Source organism: Homo sapiens, chromosome 5 (genome assembly GCF_000001405.40).
Source record: "Homo sapiens chromosome 5, GRCh38.p14 Primary Assembly".
Taxonomy (NCBI): Eukaryota; Metazoa; Chordata; class Mammalia; order Primates; family Hominidae; genus Homo; species Homo sapiens.
In genome coordinates this window covers 138,904,891-138,928,989 of record NC_000005.10, presented here as the reverse complement: position 1 = coordinate 138,928,989, position 24,099 = coordinate 138,904,891, and the positions used below count along the sequence as shown (strand labels likewise).

The window sequence follows — 24,099 nt, the reverse complement described above, 5'->3', positions numbered from 1 at the left end:
ACTGAGTCAATTCACTATTTCTTTGTAAGACATGATTGTTTTTTTTTTTCCTTTGAGACAGAGTCTCGCTCTGTCACCCAGGCTGGAGTGCAGTGGCGTGATCTTGGAATCAATGCAACCTCCGCCTCCCGGGTTCAAGAGATTCACCTGCCTCAGCCTCCCAAGTGGCTGGGATTAGAGGCAACATGCCACCATGCCCGGCTAATTTTTGTATTTTTAGTAGAGACGGGGTTTCACCATGTTGGTCAGGCTGGTCTTGAACTCCTGACCTCAGGTGATCTGCCTGCCCTGGCCTCCCAAAGTGCTGAGATTACAGGCGTGAGCCACTTGTGCCCAGTGACATAAGGTTTTTACTTCCTAATTTACTTCCCCAACACCGGCATTTTAAGACAAAGATGAGAACTGTCCTGGGTAGAAAAGGTACTGACTTAAAAATAGAGGTGTTTTGTATAGTATTAAGCGGATTTGTATAACTTTCCTACTTTATGACAAAAAGAAAATTAAATAACTGGGCCTTCTGTTAGGGTACCAAGGCTGCTTGGAGGAGTAAAAATAGGCAATGTATTTTAAAGTATTCTTTTGACTTTCATCAAAAGAAAAGAGGGGAGAATATGGCAGGTGAGGGCTGAGTAAATACCCAAGGGACTGATTACTGGTCCTAGCTCTTTGCTTTAATTATGAAATAAAATTCTTATTTTGTACCAACTACCAGCCTCTCATGATTAGCTACTGACTTGAAACATAATGTTGTCCTCTGGCAGTTATCAGTAAGGGGGCAGCAGGCAGAACAGCTGGGGTTGGCGCTCAGCCCAGCCGGCTGGCCTGTGACAGGAGGGCAGTGAGGCGAGTCTCTCGTCTGTGTACCAGGACATAGTCCAAGCCCAGCCCAAGGACTTGCAGTGAGGTTCAAACAAGAAGATATGCAAGAAACATTCTGGAACCACCAAGAACGTGCTGTGCAAAGGCTGGGCCTGTCCCTTGATGAGGTGAGAACAGTGGACGCTCACGCAGGGGACCAGACAGCATGTCGGTGTGAGGTCCTGGAGGCCGATGGACTCGGTGGCACAAAACACAATGCCAGCACTGACAGTTTTAACGCTGCAGTCACACATGCCTTCGGGACTGGCATGCAATCAATCAGTTAAGGGGCTTTTCAAAGGACCACCTCCTAACATCATCTCTACCTCCCCAGCACCCCATCGCAGACCCAAGAACCGTTCTTGCCAAGAAAACCGAGTACTCTCATTCATTCATTCATTCATTCATTCATTCATTCATTATCTCTCTGCCAAGCACTGTTCTGGGCCCTAAAGATACAAAGTGACAAACAGACAAAAATTCCTCTCGCATATTCTAATGGAAGAAATGACAACAAAGTAAGCAAATGAATTATATGACACATCAAAAGTGACCAGTGCTATGAAGAAAGCAGTGATGAATAAAGGGAGATTTTAATTCTATATGGGTGTTTGGAAAAGTCTCACGAGAAGGTGCTCTCAAGGAGGGGGAAGGGGGGGCGGGTGGCAGCATAGAGGCCGTGGGGAAGGGGCATTGGCCCAGGGAACTGCGTGAATAGCAAGGAGGCCACAGAAGGGGGGCTTAGCTCACTGCCCCCATGTCACCGGCTTGCCTGGAACCCCATGAGTACAAGAGGAGATCAGCAGGAAATAAGGTTGGAGAAGTGACAGGTTCCAGTCCCAGAAGGCCTCGTAGGCCAGCATAAAGAATGAGTGACGTGGCGGCCTGTGGAGACGCTGGCACAGAGGATAACATGATCTGATTGAAGCTTACAGAAATCGCTCTGGCTGCCCTGTGGCTCATGAGACTGTAGGCACCCAGGATGGGAACAGGGAACCAGCTGAGTGGCACCTGCATGAACCCGGGTGAGAGGTGCTGGTGGCTTAGACGAGGGTGAGAACATGTTCAGGTTCTCTACTGTGAACGGAGAGCCAAAAGAATTCACAGATAAAGCAGATGTGAGGTATGGGACAAAAGGGAAATAAAAGATTCGAGGTCTGGGCCCGAGCAAGGGAAGACGGAGTCACTATCAACTAACATGTGCTGCCTGGGTGGAGCAAGTGAGAGGGAGGAGGCAAGGTGCGCAGACAGGTGTGGAACTTAGGAGAGTCGGCCTCTAGACAGGACTCTGAAGAGGTCAAGGACTTCCCAGCAGGCCACACCCGTGTTTCACAGGCTGAGGAGATGGGGAGAAACCAGCCAAGGAGACTGAGAAGGGGTGTGGGTCAAGAGACTTTTTTTTTCCCCCTAAAAATGGGAGAAATCATCATAGGCTTGGGGAAAGGTACAGGAGGCAGGGGGTGAAGAAGCTGGGATCCTAGTACAAAGACGTGCAAGGGATGGCCTTGGCCAGAAGCACCGAGAGCAATGCCCATGGTGCTAGGAGGAAGGTAGAGCACACAGACATGGGATGCAGAGGGGTGGACGCACTAACTGCCTCAGTATCCTCAACGAAATCGGCAAGTGGGCCAAACAGGACAGGGGCACAGGTGTGGGTGGGTGGGTGGACGCCTGTTGCAGGGCAGCAAGGGCGCACAAATGGCCGCGGCTTCTGCGGCTCCATCAGCGTGGCTGTGGCCATCTGCACTGTGCTCAGGAGAGCAGGATCTTGCCAGGACTGCACCTTGCAAGGCAGGTGTGAGGAAACAGCAGGGCAGAGGAGTGAGTATATTCAACTATGGACTCAAAGCTAACAAAGGACTGAACCAAGGACACAAGGGGCTGAGTGACACATGGGGAGGACCAACTGACTGAAGACCCCACAGTAGACTCAAAGGCTCGCTGGGAGTTGCAGGACTCGAGGGCGCAACCTGAACAATAGATCTAGGCTGCTGGGGATGACAAAGACAATGGCAGGCAGTGACAAAAGCTGAGGTACAGCTATGGCCGTGAGGTTGAGGTGGAGGAGGACAAGACATCAAGAAACTGAGAGGCCCAGGGGCTGGATGATTCTTGAATGAAGACAGGAATAGTTGTCAGAGAGCAGGACGGTATGCCGGGAGCTCAATCACAGATGCCATAGAGGCCCCTTTCTCCTCTGCCCCTGCGACAGAGGCCCTCCAGGCACTCTGGCTATGGGGAAAGGGGCTCGGCACTTGGCCATGAGCCTAGGAGCATCACCTGGGGCCGCTCCTCCCCCCAACACCCTGGGGTTCCATCATCCCGTCTGCCTGCAGCCCCTCCGAAGAGAGGGGCACTTCATGTGAACAATAACTTGAATCCGCATTATGAAAATACTTCCTTCTCTGATACTAGCTTGAGAACCATTATTTTCTATAATTTCCTGCCTAACTCAAACTGAAGCCTCATGTTGTAGAGACTGTTTATCCTAAATTAAATCGTCAACTCAGGCTAGCTCCCCTTCTTGGCCCAAGTTTGGGCTCTAACTTGCAACTAACAGTCATTTTAGACAACGTAATTAAATATATCTCATTCTAACAGCTTTTAGATTCATGGTTTTAATATACTGCCACCGCATCTGCCGAGTTCTAGAATGACGCATTGCTCAAGTTTAGCAAATGATAAGAAAGAAGCTGTTAAGACGTCTGAAATGCAGTTACTCACCCTTATCATCAGCACTGCTTTCCTGATGTCCCGGATGCCATCATATACCAGGCGGGAAGCATCGATAAACTCATTCTCATCCATGGGCTGGGCAGGGTCCGAGCTGAGGGCTTCCACGGCTGCTTCTACTTGCTCAGTAAAACGTGGCATGACTGTGGAGAAAGAGGCACAGTAGATACCCTGGTCAGCAGGCAGCATCATTCCCCTGGCCCTCCCTGAATCACTCAGCTAGACAGAAAGAGGTGAGGCTTATGATGAGCCTCTGCTTCTACCTGTGTGAAGGGTATTTACAGTTGAAATAAATTAAATGCAGTATTTTACGACTCAAATCATCTTTTTCTCTGCAACAGAGATTGGATGGTTGAGAACTTGAAGTGAGACTAACTTGAAGCCTTGCTTAAGAATGGGACCTACCTTAATTTAGTCTTTACTCACTAATAGGAGATTTAACTCAGAAATTCATCTTAAATCGTGTGTTTAGAATTAGTCCCGTGATTACTCATGAGATACAGATGAAGAAAATATGCTTGTGAGGCCTGAATTTGGCTATGACCAGCTTCTCAGGAGCCCGATGTGCCATGAGACCAAATCTGAGTTCCCAACTCCTCCTTCCTCACCACAGGGCTGGGCTAATGGGGTGGCCTGCCTCACTGAGGCTGCGGTGTGTGCGAGCACTGGAAAGGGAGAGTTCCCGTACCTGTGTTGGAGAGCAGCTTAGTGGCTTCCAGAACCTTCTCTGTGTAGACTCCTGGCTCATAGTTGTCCATCTCTGAGGTGACTACGTGAATGACCCGGGCTGCCCGGCCTCGAATTGCACCAGCTGTGCGGTCCAGGCCATCCACATCCTTCTCTTGGAGAGCAATGACACATTTGTTCACATCTTCCAAAATGTGATTCTCTGGAGAACAAGCAAAAAGTTGAATGAGGAAGGAGGCTTTCTATGAAAAGGTGGCAACTGTAAGCTGGCATCTATCATTTATTGTTTGCTTGGTGCCAGCCACAGTGCTGAAAGTTTTACATATACTTCATTGGAGAGACCAGTGACTAGTGACAGAGACAGAAACTAAACCTGTTATCACCCCCAAGAATAACAATCTTCATTCCAGGTTTTTAAAAAAAAAAAAACAAAAAATAAAAAACACACACAAAAAAAACAGGAGACATGCCCATCTTTGAGACACAGCTGTTCTGTAATTTTCTGGCAGAAAATTATCATAGAAGCATCAATAACTTATCTTCCTCTAGCTTCACTGACTCTATGTCCCAAATAAAGGAAAGGCTAAATTAGAACAAAAGTCCACTGTCCCCTCTCCCTCTCCTTCCAGGAGATGCTGATGATATTCAGACAATCTACCAAGAAGCCAGTACAGCCCTGGGATAGGAGAAGGTGCTGGAAAGCAGGTTGAAGCCTCCTCTAGAGGACCCTGAGGTGTGAGATGAACTATTTAATAACCCTCTTCATGGTACACAGATGGGCTTATTGTGATATTTGAAGGGTCCCTAGAGGTGAAAACCCCTGACTCCTATGAAGCTGATGGGTGGCTCCTAACAGTCATACAGCTGAATTTGGGCAACACACCAAAACTATTTTTCCTCAAAGCAAAAAGCCTGACACTATAAATTTTTAGGAACCCCACCACAAAGGGTTTGCTCGAACTCATCTGTAGTAACAACGTGAAAGCAACCAAAATCTCCAAGAGAAGGGTGGATAAATGAATTATGGGAACTATGCAGCCATTAAAGTGGATGATACAGATCTAGAGGCTGAGGCGGGAGGATGGCTTGAACCCAGGAGGCAGAGGTTGCAGTGAGCCAAGATCGCGCCACTGCATTCCAGCCTGGGCAACAGAGTGAGACTCTGTCTCAAAAACAAAAGCCAAAACAAACAAAAAACACCTTTCCAGGGAAGGCCAGGAAACAGTAAGAATTCTTATTAGAGAAGGGAAAACTAGATTACTGCAATATAGTTAAGACCATATTTTGGTCTCTATTAATTACAAATTATGAGACTTGCCAGGGTTTATACCACTGAACTAATGAAAAGAGTAAACATATTAAACTTCTAACATAAACACATTTTAAGAGGGATATTTAAACCAATTACAAGAATAAATGGATTTGGAGCCCATCACAAGCATTTTTAAAATATATAAACTCTAATAATTCAAGCTAAACAAATGTACTGAGCAGGACTACCATACGAGGTCTTGGGTTAAAAACTGCTGCTTTACTGGATCTAACACAATACCGTTAAGATGAAACTTGCATTGCTAAGGAAAGGAAAGGAATACAATTGAAAGAAATCATGTTGATAGCAAAACTAAGAACCAGTGTTTTCTCATATCATTGATTTTAAGACTCATCCCTATTTCAGAATCAATGAAGTATGGCATTCCTTTCCGTTCAAAAGTGACCCAAACTTCCACCAAGGATTTTTTAACCTTTGTCTAGATACTTCTACGGTTTTTTTTTTTTTTAATCCATTTAGACTTTCTTGAATTCATCCTGGCCGCCTTCTAGATGAACCTAAACCAGGAAAGAGTGTGCCATTTTTTAGAGTAATATTCCCCACTTCAGGAAGCTGACCAAAGTAATATTCTCTACCCTCATGAAACACTTGTCTCTAGGAAAGCCCCAGCCTCGCTGAGGCTACCACACACCCAGGACAGAGCACCCAGCCTGCTCTCCACAACTGAACCTGATGGGGGGAGGTGCGAGTCCACTGTTCAACAGAGGGGGACAGGCTCTGCCCACACTTAACTGAAACCATACATCATTTTAGCTAAGGAAACAGCATAGGTCCACTATGAGTAGACACAACAATCTGTACCCATGAACAACTGTTCAATACATTATTTATAGGTGTGCTTCTAATAGAAAAAAATTCATACACATACATATAACAGTCCATACAAAATACAGACAACTATATGTAAATGAATATAAAAGGAATTATATTATGGACACTATTGTATCTTTTTCACTTGAAAACCTTTCTAGGTCTGGCCCTACAGATCTACCTCATCCATTTTAATGGCTGCATAGTACCCTACTGAATAGATGGAGGGGCTATAATTCACTTATTCAGTCTTTCCTTAGACATTCTGGTTGAAGAAAACATCCTTATACAGGTATTTTGGCAAATATTTGTGACACTCCCCTAGAGAAAATGTCTAGCAGTTAGATCACGAGTTAAAAAGCATATATGTTTAAAGTAGAAGTATGGTACCTAATTGCCCCCCAGGAACCATGCCAACTGGCATTCTCCATAAAAGATGTCAGAATGTCAGTCTACAACGTGTAGCAATAGAGCCTCTTCTTTGTACCCTCTGCCCTGGGTATCTTTATGGCATGCAGCGTATGCAGGGCTGCTGCACACAAAGAAAATGAAAACAATGTTTCATACTTTATGTAGAGGATTTACCCTGTGACATGAACTATTCTGATGGCTTGCCATGTAAACTATATAGTAGGCTTAAAAAAAAAAAAATCACCGGCCGGGTGATTTTTGATTACATGGTGGCTCATGCCTGTAATCCCAGCACTTTGGAAGGCTGAGGGCGGGCAGATCACGAGGTCAGGAGATCGGGACCATCCTGGCCAACATGGTGAAACCCCGTCTCTACTAAAAATACAGAAATTAGGTGGGTGTGGTGACAGGCACCTGTAATCCCAGCTACTCAGGAGGCTCAGGCAGGAGAATCGCTTGAACCTGGGAGGCAGAGACTGCAGTGAGCCGAGATCATGCCACTGCATTCCAGCCTGGTGACAGAGCAAGACTCCATCTCAAAAAAAAAAAAAAAAAAAAAAATCACCACTAATCTAACTTCACCACTTCCTCCAAAGAGAGAAACTGTCTATAGTTTAGCATTTCTGCTATTAAACACAAAACCAACATTTAGGTACAATAATAATTAGGTATTTAATGACCTCCCAATCAGACCAAATTCTTTGGACACTGACACTTAATGAAGGAAAGTACAAATTACCACTCCAAGTGTTGCTCCAAAGCATTTAATGCATATATATTGTTTCTAAGAGCATTTAGTAAAAAATTTAATAAACCCAATTAGAGCTTCTCTAAGCAACCACTTGCATCTTCAAAAAAAAGGGAGCCAAAACTGCAACATGTAAGCACAGAGAATGGAAATCAATAACATTTCCGTGGAAAACGTTTATCAAATACAATCCAAGTGAAATTCAAAGAGTCTTTATCACTTTGATGAATTTCAAACCACTCTCCTTAAGGGATTGGTCAATATAAATATATTCTTGGTCTGCTGAATGCCAGCATCTTAAACCATCTCCAATATTTACAAGGCAGCATTTGGGATAGAATAGCTTGGGGGTGAGGAGACCCTACCCCTCCTCCCTGGAGGTTATCATGCATATTCCTCTTTTTCTATGCAAGTGCGACTGTCACATATTTGACAATGATCAAAGTTCCCCCCGCCCTACAGCCTCATAAAATGCTGGCATCGGGGTCTTGGTGGCTGCACCAGGTTATACACAAGATGACCATTACTTTTTGAGCCACAAATCAGGACATGACTTGTTCTAAGTATGAGGGAATTTCTGGAGCCAATGGGGCAGAATATCCAGAACAAAGGAGCTGAAGCCCTACTCCATAAACGATTTCCTCTTGGACAGGTTCTCAGTGACTGGACAGTGCTATAGCCAATATCCAGGCCCCATGGAGTGTAAGAGAATTTGATGGTGGAAAATCACAAATGCAAATACTACATAAAACCTCTCACTCTGTACCAAAGGGCCTCAAGCCCCAGGAGACAGTAGAAAACAACCACTCCAAGAAGTCAGGGTGCATCCCTGCTGTTCATTTAGTAAAAGCTATGAAGCCCACCTACCTCAAAAGCCAGATCCTGTGCTGGGCACTTGCCAGGCAGCCCCTACTCAAAAACAAGCCCATCTCACTATGGGTCCACCAAAGCACCGCTATGCTTTAGGGCCAGGGGACACTGGCAAATGTGGCAGGGCCACGTCAGGGCCAAGATGTGGCTTCCCATCTAAATACTGCCCGTGACTGCTGCAGATGACACCTGCCTAGGCTGTGTGTCAGGAGCGATGGGGAAATATCTCTAGTCCCCCGAAATAAAAAGTGTGACACCTAGACCGGGCACGGTGGCTCATGCCTGTAATCCTAGCACTTTGGGAGGCTGAAGCGGGTGGATCACCTGAGGTCAGGAGTTTGAGACAAGCCTGGCCAACATGGTGAAACCTTGTCTCTCCTAAAAATACAAAAAATTAGCCAGGCATGGTGGCAAGCACCTGTAATCCCAGCTACTCGGGAGGCTGAGGCAGGAGAATTGCTTGAACTACTGAGAGGCAGAGGTTGCAGTGAGCCGAGATCCCACCATTGCACTCCAGCCTAGGCAACAAGAGCAAAGCTCCGTCTCAAAAAAAAAAAAAAAAAAAAAAAAAATTGCCAAAGCTACCATGGGTAAGGGATGTACGTAAGAACATAAAGGAGTCTGAATGCTGAAAATTAACTGGTCATCCCAGTAGAAACCTGCACAGGCATCTGCTTGTCTCCGCATATTACATAAATCAGAGGAGTTATGAAGAAAGGCCTTGCCCTATTAATGATTTAATTACGTAACATTCCTAAGCAGGGCTGTGACAGAACATCAGAAAAACACACCAGGTAGACTTCTAAAATTCAGATGCTCTGAAAACACCACCACCTTTGACTGAAAGAATTGTTCCATGATTTTATTTGCTAAATAGAAACTGTCTAAACTCCTTTCCATCAAATCAATCCCTCTTATACTCTCATACATTTGCATAAAAACTGAACACACTCACCAGACAACAGTGTATCTGTTAAAAGAATTTGATTTCTCTTTTCCATTCTTTTATGTCATATGCCCTAAAGATATTGCCTAGAATCCACTAAATGCTGCTGCAGAATCCCTTTTCTTCACTGATTTGACGAATGGTGCATGAGGGACATCTGATGCTGTTACATTTTATTTGGCTGTAAGGAGGACTGAAAATCCCTTGAGACCAAGCCTGAGACATACCCAACCTAATCTCAAAAAAGTAACTTTAAGAATGTAGTATTTATCCGGAGGGGGGCTTTGCATTTAGATTTCAGAATTTGTTGTTTGCTTAAAAGTGTGCTGTGAAGGTGGAATGTTTTTCTCTAAACCAATGAAAAAGAATAATTCAGTACTTCATTGGGAAAAACAACAGAAGGCCAAGATTTCCCAAAAAAGCCATTGCTGCATTTCTGGCACCTGCAAAGATGTGCTTGCAAATGAGATTTTTGTTTTAAAGTACCAACACCTGCAATTTGGCAGTCCTGCAGCAACATGGTTTACCCCCTACTTTTTGCAGTTTACAGATGGCTTGCTCCCCAGTTTCTCAAGTTAAGCCAAGGCTACCCATCCTAAGGAGAGAGTGTGAAGACAGGGAGGCATTGGTATGCAGAACACACAGTCACCCTTATATAGGTCACTGCTGGAGGACTGTGCTGTGCATGTACTTAAGCCCCGCTTCTGTTTCAAGCCCTACTGCCACGTTCTAGCCCGTGGTTCCCTGGGGTGACAGGTAGTTTCAGCCCTACAAAAACTTAGCCACTGATTCTGCCCACAGCCACTGGCCTCAGGAAGTCTGGCACTTTCAGAGAGCAAGCCATGCAGCCAAGGGCAACAGAGGTCCCGTTAAATGGAGAATGCATTTATAGTTACTCAACTCTAAGAAGATGGGATTGAAATTTATCTCTGTGTGATAAACACTGAATTGCATTTGACAGATATTTTCTATATGAATGCAATTTACTAAGTCATTACCAGTTTATGTTTATATAATGAAATCAACTGTTTTTGTGAGGTGAATTACCCAGATTTATTTTTTCAAGTTCATAATTAAATGGCACTTAAATATTTCCTCTCTGTTTTCTATCTGTGCATCATGCAGACAGAAAGTCTTTGGAAAAGTAGGCAGATAAACTATGACTATGATCATTTCTGAGAGACAGAAGAGAGGCTTTCCAAGAAGGGAAGAAATTATTTTAAAAAAGAAACTAAAGGTGATGGTGTTGAGAATCCCTTCTTCTCCTAAGTTTCATAGGCTGATAACAAATAACCACAGTCTCCACCAAGACACAGATCAATGTTTTTTCTAAACACAATGGCAGCAAGAGGGATGGATGGTCCTGGTGTTCTACCGGTCCCAGTTGAAAGACCTCACTCTATACAAGCAGGGATAAGCCTTTGCCAGCCAGGTTTCTAATTCATGCTCCTAGGATTCAGACCAGCCCTATCAAGGGAAACATCTCCAACCCCAGCTACTTCCTAGTAGCTGAGAAGCTGTCACTTGAAAACCCTGTAGCTGATAGCTTTTTTAACATTAAAATGAAAACCAGCACAATATTATTGTTAGAATAATTTACCTGCCAAGACATAGCAGTGTTTGCCCATTAATACAACTTAGACAAAAGTAATTATGAACATCTTCACATACTTCTCTGGGGAACCAGCTCATTACCTGAGACAGCCAAGAAGTCATCAATGGAAGTAATGTCATCGACAGCATCTGTGAGAACACGGACTTGTTTTTCCCATTGTTCTTTAAAAAGATCCATGTTCTCTTGGGCCAGTTTACTCTGTGGTTTTGCTGCTAAAGCCAGTGCAGCATTAATAACCTGCAAAAGATATTAAACTTCACTGTTTACTCTTTTTCAGAGTCATGGCTTTGTCTTACATGCATTTCACTAGGAGACATCACACCACATGCTCTATCCTAACTATCACAAAGATGAAGGGGAAGAGTGTAAAACAGTAAGTTTTATATGGTGAAGTTGAATTAATACATATTTTATTTGCAAACTATAGACAATGATAAAACAAATAAAAACTGTACTAGCTTCATTCATGGTGGCAAGCCTACCATTTTCAGTGACACTAAATTCTAGACTTTTTTCTCCTCATATAGACACATATATAGCCACATCAAAAAATACACAATTAGAATTATATGCCACTTAAAATGGACTATACTGATTCTTACTTTAAATGCTTCTCCATATCATTAAATATATGTTTAAAACACTAAGTATATATTCTATGTTATGGACACACTGTTATTCTCCTATTGTAGGATGTCTGGGTTGTTCTGGTTATCCATCACTACAAATATCTTGTGATAAAAATGTGGCATTTCAGGTTCTCGATACATTATCAAAATGTATTCATGAAAAATACATTGCATCTAAGCATAAGTATTTTTCATTTTCTTTTTAATGGAGTCATATTTGACAAACAAAAAACTGCTCAAAAAATGTATAATCTATTAAGGTTTAAAAATAATTTTAGGCCAGGTGTGGTGGCTCACGCCTGTAATCCCAACACTTGGGAGGCCAAGGCGGTCAAATCACCTGAGGTCTGGAGTTCGAGACCAGCCTGACCAACATGGTGAAACCCCGTCTCTACTAAAAATACAAAATTGGCCGGGTGTGGTGGCACACGCCTGTAATTCCAGCTACTCAGGAGGCTGAGGCAGGAGAATCACTTGAACCCAGGAGGTGGAGGCTGTGATGAGCTGAGATCATGCCACTGCACTCCAGCCTGGGCAACAAGAGTGAAACTTGTTGTCTCAAAAAAAAAATAAATAAAATAATAAATAAAAATAAATAAATATTAATTTTAAAGCCTGGATAACATAGTGAGACCCCATCTCTATAAACAATAAAGAAAATGAGCTGGGCATGGTGGCACACACCTGTAGTCCCAGCTACTTGAGAGGCCAAAGTGGGAACACTGCTTGAGCCCAGGAGGTCAAGGGTGCAGTGAGCTGTGATCACACCACTGCACTCCAGCTTGGGCAACACAGTGAGACTCCACCTCAAAAAGACAAACAAGCTGGGCGTGGTGGCTCGAGCTCGTAATCCCAGCACTTTGGGAGGCTGAGGCAGGAGGACTGCTTGAGCCCAGGAGTTCGAGACCAGCCTGGACAAACAGGACGACTCTTGTCTCCAAAAAAAAAAAAAAAGACAAAAAACAGCTTTATTGAGATAAAATTCACCTATCTACAATTCACCCATTTAAAGGACACAATGTCATTGGTTTTTTAAAGTATATTTGCAGTTGTTCAACATTCACCACATTCAGTTTTAGAACATTTTCATCACTCCAAAAAGAAACCCCATCCATATCCATTAGCAGCCATTTCCCATTAACTCTCCTTAGCCCCTTCTTTTTTTTTTTTTTGCAACCACTAATTTGCTTTCTATCTCTATGGATTTGTCTATTCTGGATATTTCAGATAAATGGAATCATGTAACATGTGGACTTTTGTAACTTGCTTTTTTCACTTAGTGTGTGTGTGTGTTTCTTTTTGAGACTGAGTCTTTCTCTGTCGCCCAGGCTGGAGAGCAGTGGCGCGATCTCAGCTCACTGCAACCTCCCTCTCCCAGGCTCAAGCGATTCTTGTGTCTTAGCCTCCCAAGTAGCTGGGATTACAGGTGTGTGCCACCACGCCAGGCTAATTTTTGTATTTTTAGTAGAGACGGGTTTTCACCATGCTGGCCACACTGGTCTTGAACTCCTGACCACCTCCCAAAGTGCTCGGATTACAGGCATGAGCCACTGCTCCTGGCCTAACATAATGTTTTCAAAGTTCACTCATGTGTAGCATGTACCAGTACTTTGTTCCCTTTTGTTGATGAATAAGATTCTGTTATATTACCATGCCACATTTTACTTAGCCATTCATCAGTTAATGAACATTTGAATTATTGCCACTCTTTGACTATTATGAATCATGTTGCTATGAACGCTCATACACGTTTCTGTGTTTTTACTTCTCTGGGAACGGAGTAGAACTGCTGGGAAATATAGTAAACTTTGTGCTTAAACTTTTGAGAAGCTGCTTTACCTTTTTCTAAAGTGGCTGTACCATTTTACATCCCACCAGTGTGTATGAGGGTTACAGTGCCCTACATCTTCCCTAACACTTGTTATTTTCCCCCTTTTTGGTTAATTCTAGCCATGCTAGTGGATCTGAAGTGACCACCATCCTGATAGCTGATGATGTCAGGTACCGTTCATATGTTTATTGTCCATTTGTTTATATTCTTTGAAGAGATGTCTATTCAGATCCTTCGGCTGTATTCATTGAATAAGTGAATAATGAGAGTAGTATGAAAATGCGCTGAGAGGATAATTAGTAGGATTCCTAGGTACAAGGTGCTTATGGGTTATTAGAAGTAAATGTATTTATTTTATTTTATTTTATTTTAGAGACAGAGTGTCCCTCTGTTGCCCAGGCTGGAGTGCAGTGGCGCAATGTCAGCTCACTGCAACCTCCACCTCCCAGGTTGAAGTGATTCTTCTGCCTCAGCCTCCCGAATAACTGGGACTACAGGCGCCCGCCACCACATCTGGCTAGTTTTTTGTATTTTTGGTAGAGATGGGGTTTTATCGTGTTAGCCAGGATGGTCTCGATCTCCTGACCTTGTGATCCACCCGCCTCGGCCTCCCAAAGTGCTGGGATTACAGGCAGGAGCCACTGCGCCCGGCCCAGTAAATGTGTTTATAATCATGCAACTTGGGAAGGAAGCAAAGACAAGAGGAAACTGCTGGACCTGGATGAGGCAGGAGTGTGGGGGCAGCCCTGAGTGGAGGAGTCTGGGGTGATTTTTCAGATGCTTTGGATCATGGGTGTAATTCCCAATTTATTGGAGGGGTATTCAAGAATGTTGTAACTTAGCCCTCCAAAGGCTGGAGGTGAAAACAGACTAAAGACGACTCAGGCCCACTAGATTGGTGCCGCTATTCCTCTTCCCTCCTTAATACTTAGAACTGGTAGATTATCAGACTGTCAATTATAGATTCACAGGCACAGGGAACTAAGCCATCCCAGTTTATGAACTATTAATAGCCCAACACTTCCATAAGTGCCTGGGTTTAGGCAATAATTTGGAAGAAGAGATCCTTGTTTTTCTCACGTTATGCTGTGGTCTCCCACACTTTCATCCAAAAGACTTATTCCTTCCTGTCATTCCTTATCCACTACATGTGTTCACCATTGTAAGACCACTTTCTTCATTAATTAACTCATTAATTCAATAATGTATCCATGTATCAGAGTGGAGCTATACACTGTAAGAATATTTGGCTAGTGAAAATGTTTCCGAAGAGAGCCAAGTAAACATGGGCAGGGAATTAATCACACGTTTTACTTATTTTTCACTACAAAGGGAAAAATGCTTTCTTTGTAATATATCGCATACAGTATAATGAGGGGAAGCACCTTGCCTAAGGTTAGTTTTCTCATTTTGATTACAAAATTGTGTACAAAAGACAGCTGATAATATTAAATACTCATTTCTGATTACTCTTACTAAATTTGGAATAGAAAGAGGTGTCCTGGCTGAGCACAGTGGCTCACGCCTGTAATCCCAGCACTCTGGGAGGCCGAGGTGGGGGGATTGCCTAAACCCAGGATGCCAAGGCTGCAGTAAGCCATGATCATGCCACTGCACTCCAGCCTGAGTAACCATGAGACCCTGTCTTTAAAAAAATATATAGATATGTCCTTAACATGCTACTTTAATCATCCAACATGACACTGAGCTGTGAAACTATAAAATCATTTACCTTAAAAAATCAAGATGTTATTAATTGGAATACTTACTGTCACCATTGGTTAAATAATAATATAATGGACTTTCTAGCCAAAGAAATAAGGTGAGAAATGAAAATAATAGGAAAAACTGTTAGAAAAATGAGAAAAATCACATACTCCAATGCAAATTACACAGAAAATTGAAGTACATCAACTGAATTTTTTTTTTTTTTTTGAGACAGGGTCTCCCTCTATCGCCCAGGCTGGAGTGCAGTGGCATAATCTCAGCTCACTGCAACCTCCGCCTCCCGGGTTCAAGTGATTCTCCCACTTCAGCCTCCTGAGTAGCTGGGATTACAGGTGTGTGCCACCACACCTGGCTAATTTTTGTATTTTTAGTAGAGATGAGGTTTCACCATATTGGTCAGGCTGGTCTGGAACTCCCAACCTCAGGTGGTCAAGGTGCTGGGATTAGTGAGTGATGTGAGCCACAGCACCTGGCCTGAAAAAACTCTTAGAATAAAAGTTCATTAATGTAACTAAAGACAATATAAAATAGTAAAAACCAACAGCCTTTCTATATGCCAGGAAAAAAAACAGAATACAAAATGAAGGGAGGGTCAGATCTCTCACAAAGCATTTCAAACGAAATATGTAAAGGTTAAATCTGTAAAGAAACGAACAGTTTCAACGAAACTGAATGAAAGTTAAAAAACAAAAACAAACAAAAAAAAACTGAACGAAAGTTAAAAAAAAAAAAGTCACTTCAGTTATATACTAAGTCGCCATATATACTAAGTCACCATTAGTCACAATATTTATGTCTTAGAAAACTCTATTTCAAAATAACAATGGGAGACGTCAACCTATAAATTCAATTATGTATGTCTGTATTTAAATATATATTACAGATTAAATATACAGTATTAGGTAAATCAATAAGGAAAACACCAAAACAGCAGTAGAAAAACAGGGACAGGAATGGACCACTTACTTAAGGTAAAGTGTAAATGATGAGAAAACAGCTATTGGTTGGGGGGAGTTTACTCTTACTTATATAATTTTAAAAATGGAAATTCATGTTACTATTAAATTTGCAAGGAGCCCCCAACTAGGCACGATCACTGTACTGATCGTAACTTTTAAAATGCTGTTGTTGGCTTGAGCCCCAGTACAGTGTGACATAAGGGTGGCAAGGGTGGACGTCCTTGTCCTATTTCTGATCATACAGGGAAAGCATTCAGTTTTTACCATTAAGTATAATGTTAGCTATCAACTGTTCATGGAGATTCTTTATCAGGCTAAGGAAGTTCCCTCCTTTTCCTAGTTTGTAAAGTGTTCTATCAGGAATGGATGTTGGATTTTCTCAAACACTATTTCCGTTTTGTTTCCATCATTCTGGCTATTTTGTCTTTGTCTCCTTTGCTCTCTCATCTTCTTCTAAGGTGTTGGGATTTCCTCAAAGCTCAGTCCTATGCTGCCTTCTCTCCTCTTTCTACTCTTCCCACCCCTGGGCAATCTCATCTAATCTTTTCCTAGAAACTCCCCCGCTTTTTTTTCTTTCACTTGGCTTCTAAGACACAGTCAGCTTCCGGGGCTCTGGTCCTGACAGTGCTTCCTCAGGCTCCTGTGCTGGCCACTGCTCACCTCCTGAAACTCTCAATGTTAGGGACCCCAGTTCCACTCCCAGATCTTTCCTTCACGTAGACTCACTCCCTTGGTGATGTCTCACATTTACACATCCTGTTCAGACCTCTGCCCTCAACATGACATGCATCTTGCATGTCTAATAGGCACCTCAAAAATAACATGTCCAAAACTTATCTCTTTCCCCAAACCATCTTTCCTTACCAAAATAAATGGGAACTCCGTCCTTCCAGCTGCTTAGGCTCCAAACTGTGTTATATTCCCTGACTCTTTTTCTCTCTCACCTCACATCTAATCCTTCAGTAAAGTTCACCTTCAAAATATATCCAGACTCTAACCAGTGCTCACCATATCCACTGTACTCTTGCCTGGATTAGTACAATACCATCTGTTTTAGTCTACTATTGCTTCTGTAATAAATTACCACAAATGTAGTGGCTTAAAACAACACAAATCTATTATCTTACAGTTTCTGGACATCAGAATTCTGAAATGGGTCTTACAGAGCTAAAATCAACAACATTATCATCAAATCTGTGTTCCTTCTGGAGGTTCTAGTGAAAAAGCCAGCCCTTAACTTCTCCAAATTCCTGAGGCTGCCCACATTACTTGACTTGTGGCCAGCCTCTGCTTCCATCACTGTATTTTCTTCTCTGCCTCTGATGCCCCTGCCTCCCTCATATAAGGACACTTATGATTATATTGGGGGGGGGTCCACTGGGATAATCTAGGATAATCTTTCCATCTAAAGATCCTTAATTTATTCATCCCTGCAGAGTCCCCTTTGCCATGTGAGGTGATACATTCCTGGGCTTAGGGAATTAGGAAATTGACATGTTTGGGAGGCCATTATTCTGTGTACTGCAATTTCCTAAAGAGCCTCTCTGCTTCTTTCCCTCTTCACAGAAGTCAGAGAGATCTTGGTTTTTTGTTTTTGAGACAGGGTCTCACTCTGTCACCCAGGCTGGAGTGCAGGGGCACAATCATGGCTCACTATACCCTCGACCTCTGGATTCAAGCAATCCTCCCACCTCGGCCTTCCATGTAGCCAGGACTGTAGCCTTGCACCACCATGCCTGGCAAATTTTTTATTTTTATAGATACAGGGTCTCACTATGTTGCTCAGGCTGTTCTAGAATTCCTGGGCTCAAGTAGTCACTGTGTCTTGGCCTCCCAAAGTGCTGGGATTATAGGTGTAAGGCACTGCGCATGGCCGAGATCTTGTTACAACCTAAGTAAGCTCATGTCACTCTTCTACTCAAAACCCTTCAATGGTTTCCCATCTCAAATTAAAAGCCAAAGGCCTACGACCAAGGCCTCCAAAGGCCCTGCAGTCCCTAAACTTGTTTTAGATATCTGATCTCCTTCCTCCAAGCTTTTGCACTTGCTGTTCTCTCTGCCTGGAGCTCTCTCCCCTGAGACATCCTCCGTGGTTTGCTCTGTCATTTCCTTCAGGTCTTTGTTTATACATCACTTTCTCAGTGAGTCCTTCCTGCCCATCCTAACCATATTTAACACATCATAATAAAAATCTGTGGGGCAGCTAAAACAGTGCTTCGAGGGAAATTTATAGTATTAAAATGTTTAAATGTTACCTTAGAAAAGGAGGAAGGAAGGTCTCAAGGCAATGAGTTAAAGCTTCCAATTTTAAAACTAGAAAAGGAGCAAATTAAACCCAAAGCAAGCAGAAGGAAGAAAACAAAGAGTAGAAAATTAATGAAAGACAAATTACCAAAGCTCACTCAAGAATTAAAAAAACCCTAAATATCCCTGTCTATTAAAGAAACTGCAGTCATCATTAAAAACCTTCCCACAAAGCAAATTCCAGGCCCAGCTAGAGTTTAACAGTTACCAGGCTTCACTGGTAAATTCTCCCAAACATACAAAGAACTAATACCAAATATACACAGATTTTTCCAAAAAAAAAAAAAAAAAAAAAAAAAAAGAAAAGTAGGAAACACTTTCCAATTTTAAGATACAGAAATCAGCAAAGCAACAGGCAAGCCTTATGAAAAGAGCACAGCACCTCTGTGGGGCTGTTACCTGTAGACCTCAGTCAAGGAGGGGTGGGAGGCACAGAAGGGTAGAGATGGGAGGATACAGAAAATGCTCAGAGAAACTTTTAGTAAGAAGCATCTCCCTTGAGTTCTCTGTGAAACTGCTTTGTAAAAAACCAGATTAGAGAATACCAAAGTGGAAAAGTGAAGCGATTCAAAGACAGATGGTCCCATGATTGTGAAATAATAGGTTAAGTGACAGCTGAAGCCACAGGTCTGCCCCGTCCTGTATGTATGGGGTGCTCCTTTAAGGGCCATGTATTTTCCCACCTAGAGCTAGGGGCCAGGCCAGCCTGAGTTTATGCTTATTTGATGTGTGTCAAGCATGTCAGCCACAAATATGATCAGGGTTCCCATAAGCACAATGACAGAAGAAGCAATATGGAAGATAAATCTAGGGAGGCAGAAGGAAGAATGAACAATTTCAGAAGTAACTTCTCAATTTAGTGAGTGAGAAATACCAAAAGAAAAAAGAGACCTGGGACAGTGGCTCACAGGCTGAAATCCCAGCACTTTGGGAGGCTCAGGTGGGAGGATCACCTGACCTCAGGAGTTTGAGACCAGCCTGGGCAAACAAAAAATTTTAAAAATTAGCCAAGTGTGGTGGAGTCCACCTGTGGTCCCAGCTACTCAGAGGCTGAGGTGCAAGGACTGCTTAAACCTAGGAGGTCAAGGCTGCAGTGATTCATGATGGCACCACTGCACTCTAGCCTGGGTAACAGAGTGAAAACCTGTCTCTTAAAAAAAAAAAGGGTGGGGGGGGAGGAAAGAAAAAAATGTAGATAAGTAGAGGCTTCATATACTTAATTCATCCTTTGTGTAAATTTCCAAGAAAAGCCATGCATTAAACCAGGCATTATAAATTATTTAAGTGCCAGATTTGTATTAACTTAATGTTAATACGAATGTGTAATGCTCATTCTTGCATAATGAACTAAGAAAAAATATTGAGTGAGATAATCTCCAAAATGCCCTCCTCTGATTTTAAAGACTCAAAATGTCAGAAACCTGCTGCTGTTTGCAAGGTTTGGGGTTTTTGTGTTTTTGTTTCTTCTTCCTGACCAGCACACCAAATGGTTTTGAATTTAAAAATTAAAATATTTAAAGCAGCTACTATAGACTAAAACGGGCACATTCACAAGCAAAACATAATGCCTGGGATACAAAGGGTACAGATTCTGGTCTCTTCCCAAACCAATTTGTAAACTGCTTCCTCGTAAAAGTTTGTGAGACCGGGGCGCTCTGCTCGGATGGAGGCAGGTCCCTTTCCAGAGAAAAGAGTGAGAGAAAGTAGCCATCAAGTAGAAGGCAATGCAGAGAGAGAGCCGACCTACCTCCTCTTTTCTTAATGATAACAAATCGCCAAAAAATGTGGGTTCCTTCTCCCAACAAAATATAGCCACTTTTAGATTACTTCTTCCTCAACTTGATGTTATATTTAGAGAAGGGGTCAAAGGGGTCATACTCTGTCGCCCAGGCTGGAGTGCAGTGGTATAATCACAGCTCACTGCAGCCTGGAACTCCTGCGCTCAAGCGATCCTCCTGCTTCAGCCTCCTGAGTAGCTGGGACTACAAGTGCACGCCATCATGCCCAGCCAATTCTTTTATTTTAGGAGATGGGGTCTCGCTCTGTTGCCCAGGCTGGTCTTGAAATACTGGCTTCAAATGATCCCCCGACCTTGACCTCTGAAAATGCTGGGATTACAGATGTGAGCACAGGGCCTGAACTCAACTTTACTATCTCAAATGTTTCCAGTTAAAGTTGTTTAACTGCTAAAAAGTGAGTACTGTAGAATGGATTTTCCTATGTCTCTCAAAAGTTAATTTGCTATAGGGCAAACTTTAAAATGGGGATGAAAGGCCGGGCACAGTGACTCATGCCTGTAATCCCAGCACTTTGGGAGGCCAAGGAGGGTGGGATCAGCCTGACCAACAAGGTGAAACCCCATCTCTACTAAAAAATACAAAAATTAGCCGGGCGTGGTGGCAGGCACCTGTAGTCCTGGCTACTTGGGAGGCTGGGACAGGAGAATTGCTTGAACCCTGGAGGCGGAGGTTGCAGTGAGCCGAGATTGCACCACTGCACTCCAGCCTGGGTGACAGAGCGAGACTCTGTCTCGAAGAAGAAGAAGAAGAAAAAAAAAAGGGCGGATGGGGGGCATGGGGATGAAAACTCCTCTAATGGTCCCACCTGTCATTTCTCCCCACCAGAAACTAAAAATAGCATATAGGAGCCAACTCCAAACTGTAGTGCTGCCTATGTACAGCAGCCTGGGCATGAGGCATAAAACACTAAAATACATCCTAGAAGCACTGAGCACCTCTTCCACACTGTGAAGAGAGGTCAACAGTAGCCTTACTATAAAGAAACACACACTTTAAAATAATAAATGTTTGGCTACATGCTGCAGCATATTAAAACACCAAATTAAGCTCCTAGTGAATTAACTAACTACCCTAGTTACCTAACATGTTGATTAACTTGCCTAGACCTTGGAAGGGAATACCTCAAAATCAGGATCCGTGGTGCTTGTGATCACTGCCCACAAGAGAGGAGGCAGAGGTCTCCACAATCAAGGCCCTCTTCCTCCGAGGGACAGCCCTTCGCTTCCTTGAAGGAGAGATCCTCTGAGCATGAAACACACGGGCCACAGCAGGCCAGAGGCAGCACACAGAAGAGTTTGAGTTATCCTCCTCAAAGATTTCAAAAACTTTAAATTAGTTACCAATTGTTTAAAATTGAGACATGACAGAAAAATCTGAATTGCAGAATTTTTGTTTAAAATAATGTAGGGGGCCGGGCGTGGTGGCTCAGGCCTGTAATCCCAGCACTTTTGGAGGCCAAAGCAGGCATCACTTGAGGCCAGGAGTTCAAGACCAGCATGGGCAACATGGTGAAACCCCGTCTCTACCAGAAATACAAAAATTAGCTGGGCATGGTGGCACATGCCTGTAATTCCAGCTATTTGGGAGGCTGCAGCAGGAGAATCACTTGAACCTGGGAGGCAGAGGCTGCAGTGAGCAGAGATCATGCTACTGCACTCCAGCCTGGGTGACAGAGTCAGACTCCATCTCAAAAAAAGAAAAAAGAAGAAGAAACAAGAAAGAAGGAGGAGGAGGAAGGGATCTGGCAATAACGGGGCTGGGGTGAAGTCAAAGCTGCCTTACTGAAAATCAAGCACATGATGCCCAGTTTGCTGTGACCATGTCTGTAAACACCTACTTTATTTGCCATTACTGAACCTGCCCAGTCCTGTGTGCATAGCAGTTTGTGAGCAAGAGTAGCAATGAGCCCAGGTGAGAATCTGAAGAATAATCACACTTGAAAAAACATGGTTTTTTTCAGGACACATACCCAGTACCAAGTGTGGTCTGGGCACTGTCTGCCTAAAGCCTATTCCTCTTGAAATCTGTTTTAGTAGGAAAAATGAAACTGCAAGGGAGAGGAAGACACATTGCTTTCTGATGGCTAACTCAAACCCATGTGACATGGCTTGGCCACACAGGTTATGCACACCATCATTTTCATTAGGATCTACTAGACTCTCCGTGTGATTTTTTTCCTGGGTTTTAAGATCATTTATATAAATACTCTTGGTAGGTGTGATCAGTGTATGCTACCATCTGTTTCCACAGATTTGTGAAAGCATTGTCGCTTTTCAAGCATTTCAAGACCAAATGGAAAACCAAAGACATTAAAAACAAAGTGCTGATAGGGTAAATGGCAAACAAACTTGAAGAAAGAATCCAAATTCAAATCTGTCTCATACAACTTGGCCATCCAAGATCCTTCTGGATGTGGTGATTGGATCCATTGCAAATATCTATGCAGCTGTCAATGACTGGCAGATTTCAGGACTGGACTAACACTGGGAAAATGTCTATCAGATGATGTGAATTCACAATGGGTCCATCACAGTAATATTAAGGCAGAGCAACTCTCATTGGCAAATTAATCCACATGGTTAGGTGTTAGAACAAATGCCCTACTAACCTATGTAGCAATGAGAATGACAGATTAATAACCACCGAGAGAGGCTTTACTTATTTTGGTTGCCTACCTTGAATGTCAGGGATTATTTACATGAAAAAAGCCAAATAATAGTCACAGAATATTTTAAAATTGGTTGCAGACATAACATAGCAACTTCATTCCTATGACCTCTATTTCATTTCTCCAGTCCCTCTGCTTACTCTCCTTTATTTGAGGCCACTGCCTTCTGGCAGGACATGTAAAGAGAGGTAAGTCCTCAGAGTATGCCATGAGCAATTTACACATGGGAAAGTGGAGAGGAAACCTCTTCTACTGAATCATCACTTATACTCCTTAGAAATCCCTGGAATGACAAGGAGTGTCAAGCCAGACAAACAAACTCAGCTCTTCTCACAGGAGGCAGGCAACACACTGGGCACTTAAAAAGCATTCGCTGTCATGTGTGCTTCAGAGTCTTTCTAGAGGGCCAGATGTGTAACACAGCTTCATCATCAGTCTTCCAATATACTATTATAAATGGAGACAAGTTCTTGAGCTTTCACTTCAGAAGCTGGCCAAATTAAGTTACTATCTGTATCATAAGGCTGCTTTATGACACTACAGAATAAAGAGACTAGCTTGTGAATTTGGTTTCCTCCAACACAGAGACCCAAATACTGACCATTAAAATGAATATAGGTGAATAGTGTGAGGTAACTCTCATGGTTCCAGGATGGCCAGATGTCACAAATGGCCCTCAAGGAGGGTGTAGACTCTCCCTCAAGGAGACTGTGGTCACTGCCACCCTGTATTTTCCAGCAATGGAAGGCACCATACCTTCCTCAACCCACCAAGACAAGGTCTCACTCTGTCACCAAGGCTGGAGTGCAGTGGTGTGATCTCGGCTCACTGCAACCTTTGCCTCCCAGGCTCAAGCCAGCCTCCCACCATAGCCTCCTGAGTGGCTGGGACTACAGGTGCACGCCATCATGTTGGGCTAATTTTTGTATTTATGTATGTATGTATGTATTTTTTTTTTTTTTTTTTTGAGACGGAGTCTTGCTCTGTCGCCCAGGCTGGAGTGTAGTGGTGCGATCTCAGCTCACTGCAAGCTCCGCCTCCCAGGTTCACGCCATTCTGCTGCCTCAGCCTCCCGAGTAGCTGGCACTACAGGCACCTGCCACCACACCCACCTAATTTTTTTTTTTTTTAGTAGAGACGGGGTTTCACCGTTTTAGCCAGGATGGTCTC

General features: G+C 43.2%; 1 protein-coding gene across 37 annotated transcripts in view; it reads right to left on the bottom strand.

Annotated features, from left to right (window-relative positions):
• The window catches only part of CTNNA1 (catenin alpha 1), a 181,610-nt gene that overhangs the window by 6,045 nt on the left and 151,466 nt on the right, over positions 1-24,099 (bottom strand). For 33 of the 37 annotated variants that reach the window (NM_001323982.2, NM_001323984.2, NM_001290307.3 and 30 more), the window contains 3 exons: positions 11,092-11,248; positions 4,280-4,480; positions 3,583-3,734 (listed from right to left, as the gene is read on the bottom strand). In NM_001323982.2, the coding sequence (NP_001310911.1) occupies positions 3,583-3,734; positions 4,280-4,480; positions 11,092-11,248 (510 nt within the window). Of the gene's footprint in view, positions 1-3,582; positions 3,735-4,279; positions 4,481-11,091; positions 11,249-18,413; positions 18,472-24,099 lie in introns of all 37 variants that reach the window. The other 4 variants (NM_001324007.1, NM_001324009.1, NM_001324006.1 and 1 more) reach the window with 1 other exon arrangement.